The 16,263-nt window shown below is 48.2% G+C and overlaps 1 protein-coding gene across 4 annotated transcripts in view, besides 1 other annotated feature; it reads left to right on the top strand.

Moving 5' to 3' along the window:
• PRR5L (proline rich 5 like) overlaps positions 1 to 11,112 on the top strand; it is a 168,917-nt gene extending 157,805 nt beyond the window's left edge. For all 4 annotated transcript variants that reach the window (NM_001160167.2, NM_024841.5, NM_001160168.2 and 1 more), the window contains one exon: positions 8,250 to 11,112. In NM_001160167.2, coding sequence (NP_001153639.1) covers positions 8,250 to 8,644 — 395 coding nt within the window. In that variant the 3' untranslated portion in view covers positions 8,645 to 11,112. The remainder of the gene's footprint in view (positions 1 to 8,249) is intronic.
• Positions 1,159 to 1,683: an enhancer, noted in NCBI's record as "H3K27ac-H3K4me1 hESC enhancer chr11:36476801-36477325 (GRCh37/hg19 assembly coordinates)". NCBI's record gives its function as "activates a minimal SCP1, AML or CMV promoter by ChIP-STARR-seq in primed H9 embryonic stem cells {active_cell/tissue: H9 hESC(primed)}" and the evidence as "EXISTENCE:reporter gene assay evidence [ECO:0000049][PMID:30033119]".
• Positions 11,113 to 16,263: the final 5,151 nt, after the last annotated feature.

A 16,263-nucleotide genomic window follows, 5' to 3' on the forward strand; every position in this document is an offset into this window, starting at 1 on the left:
AAGTGAGGATTAAGGTAACATGGAGCCAGGATTCCAATGCCTCAAGCTGTGGATACTTTATCAGCTGCCCCACATGCTCTACCGCCACCCCCACCCCCACTGACCGCTGCTAACTTTGAGGAGGTGACTTTATTAGGGGACAGCCCAGGAGGTGTTCCTTAGCCCAAGAGGGATCCTAAGCCAGACATTTCACCCCATGTCTCTGGATACTAAGAAGCTAAAATGGTCACAGCAGTGCCCATCCTGACTGAGGACACTGCTTTCCAGATAAAGAGAGGTCTCTCAGGGCCTCCGTCTACCCCTTAGTAAAAGGTTTATTTTGCCTGTGGGAGGAGAGCATTGAGATCGCTGGCTGAAGTAAAAACTAAGGAGTTGGGTTGGGGGTGATAAACCCCTTTACCTATGGGAGGGCTTTGCCGTGGCTCACTTGGGCCGGAGGATAGGTAGGCGTGGTCGTAGGCAGCGGAGGGTGTGGGGGCCACTCATCCCTTCAGAAGCCACCACTCACGCTGGATTACTGACCAGGGTTTTGGCGCGTAACTCATTCCATCCTCCAAGGTACTGTTGTGCTTTCAGTCTCCAGGTCACCCGCAGGGTAGGTGACCAGAGCCAGAGAAGCGGTTTATTCCCGGGGCTCCGCACTGCACCCACGCGCCCGCGCCTGTGTTTGACTGCACGAGGATTCTCCGGAGGTGTCCCTTCCTGCCAGCCAGGCCTCACCCCTGGGTACGCATAGGTCAGAGGCCCACGATGAGAGTGAGAGAGAACGTGCCGCTCTCTCCAAAGCAGCCACTTTTCTGCAACAGTGGGAGTTGCTGAGGGAGGAGGAAGAGGATAGTGAAACTTTTTTTTAAAAGGCCGACTCCTCAGAGGCTGGCCTTTGCCCCATCTTTCAAGTCCCCGAAGTCTCCAGGCTGTTTCCCTGATGTTTGCAGGGCCCTCCCGAGCACACACTCAGCAGCACGCTCGACTTCTCCCACACAAAGGCCCTGGCCTCCCACAGGCCTCCCTCCATTGTGTCTGCCTGGGGGAGGGCCCTTCTCCTTCAGGATACTGTAGCTTCTCTGCGTGACAAGCCAGCATTCACGGCTTTCAGGTGCCAGCCTGGAGAGGGACACCCACCACGGGCTTGGTGTGCTGGGGTCACAATGGCCTTATTATGGCGGTCGCTCCGGTGGGGCCTGGCCAGGGAGCCTGGGAGATCAAAAGCCTGGGAACCAAGTCCCCAACAAAGGACCCGAGGACGGCCTTATCCAGGCTTTGCATCTCTCTGGGGGTTTGAAAGGAGCTGCTCTTGCTGGCTCCGGTGCAGGGGATGAATGCCAGTGAATGCCAGTGTTCAGCAGGGCTCCTGGTGAGTGAGGAGGGAATAAAGCCTCCCCTTGGCCTCACCCCGTGTGAAAGGGAAGAGGAGGAGGCAGAGGTGGCCTGGAGATGCCAGCTGAAATGGCAGGACCCGGCCCTCTTCCCGCTAAAAGGGCACCACTGCAAGGGAAGGGCTGGTTTGGAGCCCCAGGGGGTACCCACAGGGTAATCAGTCCCTTAGTGGGAGATTCCCTTCCCTGGGTGACAGGGCCCTGCCTTCCCGGGAGCAGAGAAGAAAAAGATTGGGGAGGAGAACAAGAAGCAAGAGTGTCGGTCGCTGTCTGCCAGCCCCGGGCCTGGCGTTCAGTTTTAAGGCCTCCCAAGGGGCCCAGCAGGCCTGACCTCCCAGTGGGGACACAGCTGACGCACTTGTCTGAGGCTTGGCTCTGGAGTCTGGCGGGAACTTAGCAAGGAAACGCTGTCTGCCCGGGGGACTCAACACAGCCTTGCGGTCCCTGTGGTCCTGGCTCTGCCCACACCCAATCTTGGGAATGAAAACATTCCACCCAGAAAGTAGAAGGAAGAGCTGTAGCCTCTCCTGTGAGTCATCAGCAGGGGGAGAGAGGCTGAGGCAGCTGTGGAGAGAGCAGGGCCTTGGAAACCACGAGAGCTGGGGCTCAGCTGTGTGGCCTGGAGCAACTTCTGAGCCACAGAGGGCTGAGCACAGAGGCCCTGTCCTTCCATTCAGGATCAGCAGGAGGAAGAAGCTGCCCTGTCTCAGGTAAGGGCCAGGTAGAGCTGCCTGCTATGTTATGGACGCCCAGCTAAAGGTGGCCTGGCGTCCGTGGAATCACTCCCCGGGGAGGTTGTGTGTACCTCCCCAATCCCTCCCCTGGATCCCAAACCACATCCTTGGCCTTGCCTTGCTGTATTGCCATGTCCTATTTCTCAGCCTCTCCCTTACACTGAGCTTGCTCGTTGAGAGCAGGGATTTTGTATCCCAGGACCTGGCACAGACCTCTCCTGTGAGTGAGTGGTTCAGTCTGTAAGTCAAGCCTAGAGAAGCACAGCCCATCTGAAATAGGCTTTGTGACTTCTCTTCCTTCTCCTCTGAATTTCCAGGGTGCTGTCGTCTCTATCTCTGACCTGACATTTGCCACACTGACCTGTTCTAACAGTTATTTGTGTATGTGGGTCACAAGCTGGGCCTGTGCTGTCAGCTCTGGGTTTGAGTCCTGGTTTCATCACTAACTATGACTGTTGTTATTCCACATCTCAACTTCAGGTTCTTCTGCGAAGTGGTTAGAAGCCATCAGTGGAGCACCTCCTTTTTGGTACAGTACCTAGCATATCATGGATGCTTAGTAAATAGTTCCTCCTAAGAACTCGTGCCCCTGACATGTGAACATACATGCATGGAGGTACACAAGTGTGCTGGGCTCAAGCCCCTGTTGGGGGCCCCACATCAGATTTATGTTTCTTTTCTTCTCTGCAGCTAGTGCAGCATTTTGCATGTACAGGTAGTAGTGTTTGTTGAAGGTGGGGACAGGTGGTGTTGTGGTCTCCTCCTCCAGGGCAGCCCCCCTCTGGCTCCAGCTCTTGGCCTGTGAGCAGCCAGAGTGGCTTCTCTTGTCCATTTGCTGCCTGGGCCCTCCAAGGATCACTGGAGACACCTTTCCCTGGCTCATCCCAGTGGGCTGGGACCTGCGGAAATCATCTGACGAATTCTCATTTCCTACAAAGATGCTGCATGTGTCTGCCAAGCAAGTTGATTTCCTGTTCTCTCGATTTACCCTCTGTCTTCTCTGGTCCCAGCCTTTCTTCCAAGTTTCAGCCATGTTATAAAATCTAACATTAATACTGTATCTTTCCAGATACCCCTTCCCCAAAGAGAGGAGTCTCCCATACTCTTATAAAACATTATCGAGGCCGGGCACAGTGGCTCATGCCTGTAATCCCAGCACTTTGGGAGGCCAAGGCAGGCAGATCATGAGGTCAGGAATTCGAGACCATCCTGGCTAACACGGTGAAACCCTGTCTCTGCTAAAAATACAAAAAATTAGCTGGGTGTGGTGGTGGGCACCTGTAGTCCCAGCTACTCTGGAGGCTGAGGCAGGAGAATGGCGTGAACCCAGTAGGCAGCGCTTGTAGTGAGCCAAGTTCGCGCCACTGCACTCCAGCCTGGGCAACAGAGTGAGACTCCGTCTCAAAAAAAAAAAAAACAAAACAAAAAACAAAACAAAACATCGAAATCTCTAGCAACATTAGAAATAATGTCACTACTGTCTACCTCTTTGACCCTCCCCTTTGCACAAACCCCTCCTGGCAGGTAGGTACCCAGTCTCAGAGGCCCAGACATCTGCATGAAGCAAATGCTCCCTAAACAGGTCTCGTCCTGTCTCCTGCTAGACTGGTTGTAGGGTTCAGGTCCCCACATGGGTTTCCCAACAGCAATCTGAAGTGTGTACTTCTATCAGCAGTGAGAGAGAAATGAATTGTTCTCAAGGGCATTTTTTTTAAGGACAGTTTTTCAATGGGATCCTTGCTGCTCTGAACTCTTCTGGTGCTTCTGTTTTATAGTTATTGATTTTGGAGATCATAAAAGTAATACAGGTATTATAAGAATGTGGGAACATTATAGAAATGTGTAACTTGGAGAGTACGAGCATCCATGCTTCAGAAAGAACCGCTGCCAATGCCTGGTGTATTCTTGGTTGCTCCTTGGCGTTTTGTCTCTTATCTCCAAAGAGGGGCGCCAGTGTCAGCTTCTTGTGTAGCATCTGCTGGGGGGCAGTGTTTGCTATTACTTGACTTCAGTGGGTGGGCTGCTTCAAGGAACATGTCTTCTGAGGGCAGCAGCAGTCACCTGAGACACAGCAGCGTGTAGTGGGGAAAGTCTGGGCACTGCCATCTAGAACCCAAGAGAAACGGGGCTGAGCCTCAGTCTTCCTCATCTGTGCAGTGGGCATACTAAGAACAACTCTGTTTTGGAGGGAGATTGGGACTAAACAGCGAGATCATGGGTGGGAACACACTCTACACTCTAAATTCTATGTAATATCCTTTGATTTTGAAAAATTGTTATTGTCACCACCAAATAGGCCCCTTGGGCTTCTGAGCCAGTAGACTCAAGATTTAGTCCAAAGGTTTAGAATTTCATTCTCTTCATTATTTATACACACACACAACAGTCCGATGACGGGAGCTGCTGTGAGCTTTGCAGATGGATGTAGGCAGGTCTTGCTGTGATCTCCTTCCAGGAGCATTGGCTCTAGAAGTGGCTGACACACGTGTCTAGGGCCCTCCAGATCCACTGGAAGAGCAGAGAGTAAACTAAAGCAGCATGAGCCACGTGTCCCCATGGGCCAGTCTGTGAACAGCATGGTTTGCTTTCCTCTTGGAAAGTGGGGTGTTCCCCCTCCTGTCCAAGTGTGGTGGAAATACTGATACCATTGGGCCCCACTCCCTTTCTCCCCACAGCATTGTCCTGCCTGGCTGGCAGAGGGAACACCTTTCTCTTGGGTCTTCAGGGTGTCAGAGATATGGGCACTGTGGAAGGCAGAGACAGGTGAAATGGTGTATGTGACTGGGAAGCTGGGAAGAGGTGTGCTCTGGCAGAAAAGGAGGCTGAAAAGAAGAGGAGGCCCAGAACAGAATCCACCCATCCCCCAGCCCTTTGAAGCTGTGTTTCTCCCATGGCCGTGCCTTCAAATTTACTCTCTCCCAGGCCAGACCGGTTGCAGTGGCTGGACCATCCCACGCCTCTGCCTCTCTCAGGTCCAGAGCCGCTCAGCTCGTGACATGATACCAGGCCTAGGTGGCAGAGGAGGCAGCACTGCCTCAAGAGGAGCATGAGTTGGGGGACTTCTCTGGGACCAAGGGACCCAGCCTTGTCATGGTGCTTACTCTATTCCAAACTCTGTGCATGTTTCTGCCCTAGCGCAGCCCATGTGAAGGTGGGAGAGCAGAGGCCCTGGGAGCTGGGGTGCTGCTGTCAGATTTGCTTCCTCTCTTGGGACTCTACTCCCGAGGCTTCAGTTATCTGAGTTTTTTGGTTCTTCTCCTGCCTCTCTGACCCACCCTAGGGTTTCCTTCCTTCTGGAAAGGCAATGGGGCTTACCCGGTTTTTGGAGGCTGCCATCTGTGCTCCAGTCCCAGCTTTGCCTCTTCTTTGCAATGTTGAACAAGTTATTTAACCTCTCTGTGCTTTAGTTTCCCCATCTGTAAGGTGGCAGTGGTGATAGCAGTACCCAGCTCATTGGGTTGAGAGGATTTAATTATTCACAGATACAAGATGCTCAGATCAGCACCGAACATTCTTAAGTGCTATCCTGTGTGTTAGCTGTTAATACTTTAGCCCCTCTGAAAGTGGTGCTGTTAGCCCCTCTCATTTTATCCACCCAGCATAGGTGTACACACGGGAATAATGTAGTCCTTTACCCCATCTTCATTTTCAGAGAGGTCACATTTACTCGGAGGGCCCCAGCCATTACTAAGTTCCAGAGGACTTTGATTTTTCATATCCTAAAATGTTTTCTTCTTGTCGTAAAATGCCCACATAGGGAATGAAAATTTTAAAGACGTATCAATAAAAAGATAATGAAATTTTAAAAATCACCGGGTAATACCTTTGCCCAGAGATGATAACTAGATATTTTGATGTAGCATTTCCCAGTTTTTATACACAGGTGTGGTGGGTGAGTACAACACCCAGTATAACCCCAGTTTTGCTTAAAAAGGGACAAAATGCATATAATACTGTTGTTTATATTCTGCTTTTGTCACCAAATATTATCAACATTTCTCACTGTCCTTAAATATTATTTGAAAATGACCAAATTTCTGTCTTTAGATAGAAACTTCTTTTCCCAGCTCAAAACTGCATGTCTGTCAGCCGGTGGAGGTTGCCCCTTCAGCATCTCAGACGCGATGTGGCCAGGACCCGGCGCTGGGTCTCACAAGCTGCCTCCTCTGCATCCTCCCCATCCTTCGCCCCTCCCCCAAGTCTGCCGTTCCTTTGTTCTGTCCCACAGCTCCTCCTCCCTGCCCCGCTCCCATGATCTCTTAGTTGTGGGGTTCTGTAGTATCTCTGTAGTATCTCTGTGGTGTCTCTAGCGGTCATCCTCACCTTACTGTCATCACCACAACTCCACTTCCTTTCCTGATCACCTCTCACTTTGACACTGATGTTAGCATTACCTTTTTTCACATGCGATCCCTATTTATTATGGAATATAATACCTGAGCCTTCTCCCTGGCTTTCCTCGCTGCTGGCCTCGCTGGCTCCAGCCCATTCTGCCACACTTCTGCCCAAGGAAGCTTCCTGAGCACAGTCCATCTTGCCCTATGACCTTCGATGTTAACTGCGTCCCCGCAGCTGTGCTGTGACCTGGTACCACAGGTGCTTCCATCTGCCTGCCGGGGCACCTCTCCTGGAGTCTGTTCCAGCCAGGCTGTGACCTGATGGTGCACCTGTCTCAGCAGCTTTCTCAGGCTGCTGCCATTGCTCAGAACTCTGTCACCCCTTTACCGCTTCTGGGAGTTCTGCCATCCTAAAGGTCCATCTCCAGTGTACATCCTCCAGGCAAGTTTCCTATCTCCAGATGGGCATGCTTTTTCTGGCCCTTGAAGCCCCTCCACTTGGCTCATCCTTCCCTTAAGGTATTTCACCTACCCTAGTTATCTGTGGGCCTTGGATGGGCAGCTAGAAGAGCAAGGGTCTGGAGAGAGACAGACCTTGTTTGAGTCCCAGCTTAAACTACCTTCTATCTATATGACCTTGGGTAAGCTATTCCCTCTCTGAGACTCAGTTTTCTCATCTGGAAAGTGGAAACTGATACAATACCATGACTTAGGTTCAGTTTTGGGGGGGATTCAAAAGATAAAATGTCTAGGTTTAGCACAGTTTTTGGAACATGATGAGAATTCAAAAGCAGCAGTTTAGGCCGGACGTGGTGGCTCACACCTTTAATCCCAGCACTTTGGGAGGCTGAGGCGGGTGGATCACCTGAGGTCAGGAGTTCAGGACCACCCTGGCCAACATGGTGAAACCCCGTCTCTAGTAAAAATACAAAAATTAGCTGGGCATGGTGGTGGGCGCCTGTAGTCCCAGCAACTCAGGAGGCTGAGGTGGGAGAATCACTTGAACCTGGGAAGCGGAGGTTGCAGTGAGCTGAGATCACACCACTGCACTCCAGCCTGGGTAACAAGAGCAAAACTGTCTCAAAAAAAAAACAAAAAGCAGCAGTTTTATAATTAGTATCCAGCCTTCCTGTGTCTGCCTCCTTGGGGTGATCCATGGAACCTAGCCTGTTCTTTGATGATGCTAAAGGCTGTTTGAGTCCAGGAGAATTGACTTGAACAGAACATAGGTCTGAGACCCTTCACCTGGCAGGAGATGAGGGCCATTGATAGTCGTGGTTCTGTATGATTTGCAAGATAGTCCTGCTACCTTGGGTTTGACAACTGAGGTAACTCCCCAGTTATCTCTTCCTCTGGATTTCAGCTTAGGAAGACTCTTTTATATCACCTGTTGGCATGGGAGAGGCCACTCCTGCAGGAAGCCAGGGTGCTTCTTTTGGAATGCTCAGGTCCTCAGAGGACATTGATTGAAAGGGAATTTTAGGGCAAACCCAATGAAGCTCAGGCAGCAGCTGAAAAACACACCAGATTCCCTTGACTCTTATCTGTCAAGGAAAGTCTGTTGGTGACCACCTAATATGTGGGGTAGGGTTGGTTACAGGCAGGATCTGGCATAAACAGGTAAAGTTGCAAGAGAAACATTTAGGTATCACCAGATTCCTCCCTTGCATTGTGGCAGGGCTGCACCTAAGAGCTGCTCCTAAAGGTTGAGCACCTTGTTCTTTTCCCCCAGTTGGATTAGGAGCTTTTAAGCACCAATACCCCCTCCCCAATAACAGTCTTTGCTGATTTTTCTCTTGCAGCCAGGCGGCACTCCAGGGTCCGGCCCAAGGTGACTGTCCTGAACTATGCCTCCCCGATAACCGCAGTCAGCCGGCCACTGAATGAGATGGTCTTGACCCCACTGACAGAGCAGGAGGGGGAAGCCTACCTGGAGAAGTGTGGCAGCGTGCGGCGGCACACGGTGGCCAATGCCCACTCGGACATCCAGCTGCTGGCCATGGCCACCATGATGCACTCGGGCCTGGGGGAGGAGGCCAGCAGTGAGAACAAGTGCCTGCTCCTGCCACCCAGCTTCCCCCCGCCCCACCGGCAGTGCTCCAGTGAGCCCAACATCACTGACAACCCTGACGGACTGGAGGAGGGGGCCAGGGGCAGCCAGGAGGGCTCGGAGCTGAACTGTGCTTCCCTCAGCTGAGTCGCCACCCCTGGGCCTTTCCATCTCCTGTTTTGCAACCAGGATGAGGACCCCTCCATCTCCGTGGATTACTGAGGGGGGCTCTTGCTTTATGCGATGCTGCCTTATTTCCTTTAGGGTACTGTCCTGGTCAAAATGACCTAAGGGGAAACCGTTGTTGTAAACCTCTTTATTTTGGTGACTGTGACCACTTCTTTGTAGCCACCAATTGTAGTGACCAGTTGCCTAATGGTCACTTTCTGACTCCAGCCTTGCCAGCCTGACTCAGATCCTCATCTCTGGGCCTTTCTCCCTCCGATGTTGGACTGCCTGATGCTCCCAATGACATATCCAATGCTCCTGGCATTTCTGGAGCAGGAGGTTGTCAGGACAACACATATAACCACCAAGGATGTGTTGGCCTTTGGAGTTCCCCTTTAGGTTCCTAGTGATGTGGAGGTTTATGGGTGAAAAATTAGTGGAGAGGGAACTCCTCTCCCCCATTTTGTGTAGAGTGAAAATAGCCTGAAGCCCCTACTCAGCAGGGCTCTGGGAATGTGCCTTCCTTATTTTAGTTTCAGAATTGCTGGGAAAGTTACCCCACTGGTGGGTGAGGATCTATCCTCAACCTACATCCAGATCCTATGTGCTGCTTGCACAGAGGCCTTTGGCTTTTGACCCAGGAGGGCCGCGAGGCTGGAGCTGCCCTGTCTTTCATTGAGCCTTAGCATTTCCCTCTCAGGCTTCCTCTCAAGCTCAAGGAACTCACCCCCAGATAAGAAGCTGGTGCCTCTTGTCTCTCTCATTTCAGAAACGGACTTTCTCATCATGCTTTCCTATGGTGGGTATGAGGGGCCAGCTGATACCAACCAACTGGCCTGTATCTATCTATCTGGATTTGACTTGAATTTTTAAAATGTGTATCGTTTAAAAAAAAAAATGTTTGCAAATTTTGCACATAGGATCTTGCACTGTTCATTTTCAGTGGGGTGAGTCTTCACACTAAAAACACAAGCAGAGCTCCTGGGAAAAGAGACTGGAAGTGGTTCAGGATAAAGAGATCCATGGTGGGCAGGGCTGTTAGGTCACAGAGCTCTAGAAGCAGCTGGACTTGAACCCACAATGGCTTGTGTAAATTCGTAAATTTCATGGTTTCTAGGAAAAGCTGCATTGGGGTGGGGAGACCCAGTTTGCCTCATAGGCAGAGGATTCTCCAGGAAGCATGGAAAATGGAATGTTTCCATGCTTTACAGTGCTGGGAGAGAGGGGAGATGTGGGCAGGACCTTTTGGAAGGATGTTTATTCTCTGTGGTTAAAGAAATGCTGAGAATTTCTAGCATGTGAAGCACTTGGGGGCAGCAGGCCTTGGCACGGTGCTGCATCCTTCTACTGCTCCCTCCAGGTCTGGGGGCTTTTATCCACCTTGAATCCCTATCCTCCTCTTTGTAGTTGTCGGTCTCACTGATAACAGCTCCAGAAAAAAAGACAAGGCTCCCCCTCTGACCCTTCCTGTTGGTATTTATGAAATCTCAAAGAGATGAGCCACCTTGGCTTCCAATATGGCAAGAGGGTGCTGGGAGAAGGTGAAGATCAGTCTAAGCTGCCACGGTGATGAGACCTTCTCATTATGTAACTCTTGATGGCATTTCCCTTCTGAGTGAAGATTTGAAATATGATTGATTAGAATTGTGCTCTTGATGGCTGGGAATTTAGAAATTTTATTTTAAGAGTTATTTCATTTTCATCCTAAGAGTGATGGGAGAGAAATGTCCAAAAGAGATCTGCTGATCTGCTGAGAGTTTCAAACAAACAAAAAAATAATCTCTATGTATGTGTTGGATAAAGTCTACAGACTGACTAACATGCATTAGCAAATGGAGCATCAGTAGGTAGCAACATGATAATTTATGTAACTGATAGCTTCTGTCCTTATTAGTACACTTAACATTTGAGACTAGTATTTATTGATCCAGGCAAAGTAATTAATTAATCATGCTTGGGCTTACTTTTTCAGTTTGTAAGGTTAAGCATATGTGCATGCGTGCGTGTGTATATAAATGCCTTTTCCATATCTTAAATGTCCCTGATGAGGAGAGCAGTCATCAATTAAATATATAAGCTCTTAAAATGAGAATGGAAGTGTCAGTATAGACCCAGTGTACTTAAGTGCTGATGACTGTTAGCCAGTTTACAACTTTTTACCATCGATGTACACATTTGATATTTGTGCAGTAAATAGACTGTACCTATAAAAAATTTTATTGATGTTTATGGTCATGTTAGCTATCAGAGAGCTATTGGAGTGAGAGCTGAGGTGTCCTTAACCACTTTTTCTCTCCTAGATTCATTTTCATTATTTATGCTAGGATTTTCTTATGGTTGACATTTGATGACAGGAAGCAATCATGACTCTTCAAGTGAGCTCACAGAAACCTTTCATGTTGTCTGTTTCCAAAATGGATTCAATAAACAACATTTTGTCCATGTTACCCTATTCTCATGCTGGGTGCCCCAGGGGTGTCTTGATCGAATTTGCAAGTATAGCAGTCAAATCAGATCTTTTTTTTTTTTCCTCAAATTAGATCTTGATGCATCTTTCCCTCAAACTCCCTGCCCCAACTTCTGCCTCCTCTTTTCTTGTTGCCTCTACTCCACAGTCAGACAGCAGCCTTAGCTCAGCCAGTCTTCCCTGGGTTTTGTTTGCAATCCTGGACTGGATTGGCAACTCATTTCCTGGAGAAACATATTGTGGAGCTAGAAAATACTGAAAAAAGTCTGAGAAGCCAATACTTTTTCTAAAACCAGCTTGGCCTTTCTTCCCAGAGTATTTGACCTAGAGGGAACAGTTACCATATGTACTCATGGATGATCTCATATATTCCCCTCTGATTCTGTTTGGCAGAGGAAATTTATGTTTTACTCTGCATAAATACTTCTAGGAGGCTTATAGCAGCAACAGTCTGAGACCGCTAAAGACTTAATAAGAGCCTTTGAAGAGGTGTGACTGATTAGTCATCCTGTAGGGTGTAAAAGGAGAGTGTGTATGTTTTGGTTGAGCCTTTGCAGGTCATAACTATGGTAAATAACCACTGAGCATTCTGCCTCAACAGGTTTCATGTCATTAGTGTGCCCATGACATAGCAGTGCACCATCATATTCATTCATCCACCCATCTACCCATCAAACACTTGTGGAGTTTCCATTGTGTGTAGGCGCTTTTCTTCGTACTAGGGATACAGTGATGGACAAATAACCAAGGTGCCTGCTCTCATGGAGCTTACACTATAGGGGGGAAGGCTGGAAATCAGGTCAACACAAGCATCACAACTACCAAACAACACTGGATGAAATGGCAAAGTGCCAGTGACTGGAGAGTGAAGAAAGGATGACGGTGGGTAGAATGGCCAAAGGAGGTCTCTCTCCAAGTCAACTGACTCAAGAGCTGAGTGACAAGGAGCCAGCCTTACGATCTGCTTTGTTTCCGATCACTGCCATAACTATCACAGACTTAGCAGCTCAAAACAACATATTTATTATTACAGTTCGTTGGCTGGAAGTCTGACGGGTCTCACTGGGCTGAAATCAAGGTGGTGTCAAGGCTGCATTCCTTTCTGGAAGCTTTAAGGGATAATCTGTTTCCTTACCTCTGCCAGCTCTTAGAGGCTGCCCATATTCCTTGGCTTGTGGCTTTCTTCCTCCATCTTCAAAGCCAGCAGTGAATGGTGGGTTGAGTCCCTTTCACATGGCATCACTCCAAACTACATTCGGCCTCCCTAGGACCCTTGTTGATTACATTGAGCCCATCCAGATAATCCAGGATTATCTCCCAACTCAAGGTCTCTAATCACATCTGCAAAGTCCCTTTTGCCTTGTAGGATACATTGCAGGTACTGTGGATTAGGATGTGGACATCCTTGATGGGGGAGGGGGAGTCTTTATTCTGCCCCACAGAATAATGATTACCACATAATCCTTAGGTTTTGCTGCTTCTACTGATTACTCTTTGTGGGTAGCAAGCTCCCAAAAGACCAGCTTAGCTACTGAGGAAACTCCTTGTCCTCCGGCCCAGTGGAATTTGATGGGAAAAGAGAAGGAAAGCAAGATGGACAAAAAGTGTCCCCCCCAGGGCTCTGCCTTCACGCTAAGGAGCAGTGGTAAGTTGGCTGAAGCTCTTCTGAAAGTCCTTAAATGTCCTTGAGTCCCTCAGCTGGCCAGAGATACACTGGTGTCCTCTCTGGCATGCTTCTTCTTGTCTCCATCCCTCCTCAGCTGGACTGAAGATTTCTGTGGGTACTGCTCTGCTGCCGCCTCTGCTGAAATCTCTCTCCCAGCAGGAGAAAGGCCAGCCATGGGATGTACTGTGGAGCCTGGGAAGATGAAACTGCAGCATAGAAGTGCTGGTCTCAGTGTTCAGGGGAGACTGGGTGACATGGCCTGGGGACTTTACGGCCTGACCTCCACCCACCATGGCCTAGACTCCCACAGAGACCATGATTCTGTAGTCCCAGGCTCCAATCTCTAATTGCCTCATTGCCTTCTGTCAGGCCCTCACCATCCCCAGTCTGGACTTACACAACTTGGTACTTCCTGTATTTGTGTACAGACTCCATCTCTCCCTTATGGACATTCCCATTTGATCTAAGATGCAACCCCTGCTTAAAACTTTTCCTTGGCTTTCGATATAATCCACACACCTAAACTTGACTTCAAGGTCCTTCACAAGCTGGCCCCACCTACCTTCCTGGCCTCATTGGCTGCTCTTTGACTCCCTCGAGTTGGAGACCAACAGCTTCACCAGGACTGTTCATTGTCCCAGGAAGCTGCCTTTCATCTCCACATCCCCTGCCATGCTCCCACTGTTCCCTCTCCCTGGGGGCCCTCCTCACTTCTCCAGATAGAAGCAGCCACTTCAACCTCTATACATTCTCAGGGGCTTAATCCAGGAAGTCAAGAATGGGTAGGATTTATATGTGCAGGCTTAGGGCCTCACAATAGAGAAGTTTCTAAGTCCTGTGCATTGAATAAATGAATGGGATGGTGTAATTCTGATCCCCACCCCGCCCCTCCCAGGTATGTGCAGAAAGGACACCGCCTCTCTCCTTTTTCTCCAGGTAGGGATCTTCCCCATGCAGCTCTCTCCAAGCATGTTCCAACTGAGGCTGTGTGGCCAGGTGACCCAGTGAACACAGGTGGGAGTCTGAGCCCTTCTTCCAACTCCTTGCCTTTGCTCCAGCCAATGTCTGCCACTTCCCTGCAGAGAGTTAACCCTGTTCCTGGGGATGTTTTGCTCCAGAGCCAGCTCATTTTCTTGGCCTGCCCTCTTTCTGTCTGTGGTAAGAGATTGCTTTGGGATCTGACAGTCCTGAGGACAGTGAGAGCACCTGTTGTTTGCTCTTTGAAGCAATCAAAGAGCCATCTCTTTGAAGAAGCTCTCCTGCCAGGAAGAGGGAGTGTCCCAGGCCAGTGAACTCAGGCAAGAGCCTCCTTGTCCTAACCCTCTCTGCATTCAGGAATCTAGCATGAGGGCCGAGTACTAGGCTGTTCCTCACAACAACCTTGCAAGGCAGGTGTCACCCTCATTTTGCAGATGAGCAAACTGAGCCTTGGGTCTTTTAAGCAATGGAGCTTGGACTTGACCCCAGGTTCACCACAAGTCCAGTGGTCATCCCTTTCTATTCTAGGAGGTACCCTAGCCTGATAGAAAATGAAGAATAGCTAAGCCAGGGGCAGAATCTGCTCAGCTTGCTACAAGGTAAGAGATGTTCCAGCGTTTCTAGAAAAGCTGAGGAACAAAGCTGCATCTCTTGCTTTTCTGCAGTCATTTCTAGAAAACCTCATGGCGTAGGGACTCTGGTATCCTGGACAGTAAATTTCTTATGTAGAAAAGATTTCGGGGCTTTTAAAAAAAAACTTATGTTAAAATTTGTCTTTAAAGTAATAATTTAATAAGTTTATATTTAATTTAATAAACATAATTTTGTCTTTAGAATCAATATTCCATTTCAGATGCAAAGCTTAAACTTTTTTATGCTTTTAAATTCAGCTTACAAATATTATTCTATTTTATAAGTCTAGCAGATCTTGGCAATAATTTTGGAGGAGTGTTTCAATAATGCTTGCTCTTATTTACAAGCATAGCTTAGCACTTCAAACATTTTAAAACAGATTTAGAAATTTAATGTATTTATTTTTTAAGTACTTTGGTTTTTCTGACCACAAGCAAAATCATCCCAAATTTTAAACTCTTATAGAAGTGAATAAATTTAACTTAAAAGATAAATCTAGGTGCTCTTAAATGTTTTTATACTCTACTTAAACTTAGATGTCACCATTAAAAAAATCACAAGTCTAAATTAATTCTCAATTATACATTTTAAAGTGGAGTTGTAATATTTCTACCCTTAAATCTAAACCTTCCTGAAGTGTTGGTGAGATATTGTCTCTCAGTTTCGAGCCTTTTCCTTTTTTTGTGATGCTGTGGCTGGGATTCTGCAAACCACATTGCTGCTTTGTCAGCTGGGTCCCTGGTAGGTTCTGCCAATGGAGGGCGCTAGAGGGAGCCTGGGGGACTGGTGGAGGGAGAGGAGTTGGGCTCATCCTGTCTTTGTCCACATCACCTAGCATAGACAGCTGGGTCCAGCAGCAGTGTTGAGTTACTGTTTGCAGTTTATCCACATTCCCAGAACCAGCCTCAACATCTCCCCTTAGAGATACAAGCACTGTCCAGCCTGGGACCCCTCCTCAGAATTCTGAAGCCCTCTGGGGCCCCTCCTCTAACTTTTTAAATTTCAATAACCCCTAACACTGCTTTTTGTTTCCCCAGTTCTAAGGGTGGTAGTTGCTTCCTGTAGTTACCACCTCTGTGATTCCTCTGGGTCCCCTCTTTGCCATTTTATTTGTCCAATTTTTGATTAATAATTCTTTATATTAAATTCTGTCTGTTAAAATACTTGATGTGGCCTTTGTCCTCTGACTAGCCCCTGACTGATGAACCAGGGTTGAAAAAATATCCACTAAAGAAGATAATAACCATTCCAGGTAACCAAGGCAAATCACTACCAGAAATTTCCTTTGGGTGTGAGACCCAGAGCTGCAGACATTGAGTGGCTTCTTTTCCCCCCACCTAAGAAAACTATATCCCTTCCAGTAATTTTGGTGGTTGCTTCTCAGCATTCTTGAGTTTATAGGTGGAGCATACTTGATCCTTGTGTGAGTCCCCAAGAGACACTGGGTCCTATTTGTGGTTGCTTAGTCAATGACTTCATAGCTTAAAAGAAGTGACCTCGGAGCCCTTGTTCCTGTATCGTACAATTGCCTAGTTCTTCAGTTACCTTCAGCAGTATGCATTTCTCACTAAGTCACTCATTAGATTGGCTTTTCATTTCCTTGGTGATTCTAGCCTAGGTCTAATGACTTTTGAGAGACATCCTAAGCCATGTAAATACCTTGAACCAAATAGACTTCTGAATTCTTTTATATTCTCAGGACTGCATAACTCTTAACTCTTAACAAGTGCTTAAATTTCAGTCTGATATCAGTCAAATATCTCAGATAGCTTTGTTTGTGGTCCAACTTATGAGGTCATTTCATTCTCTGTAGGCTGAAGTAAGGATTAAGTCATTTGCCTGCCAACAGAAACT

Source organism: Homo sapiens, chromosome 11 (genome assembly GCF_000001405.40).
Source record: "Homo sapiens chromosome 11, GRCh38.p14 Primary Assembly".
Taxonomy (NCBI): domain Eukaryota; kingdom Metazoa; phylum Chordata; class Mammalia; order Primates; family Hominidae; genus Homo; species Homo sapiens.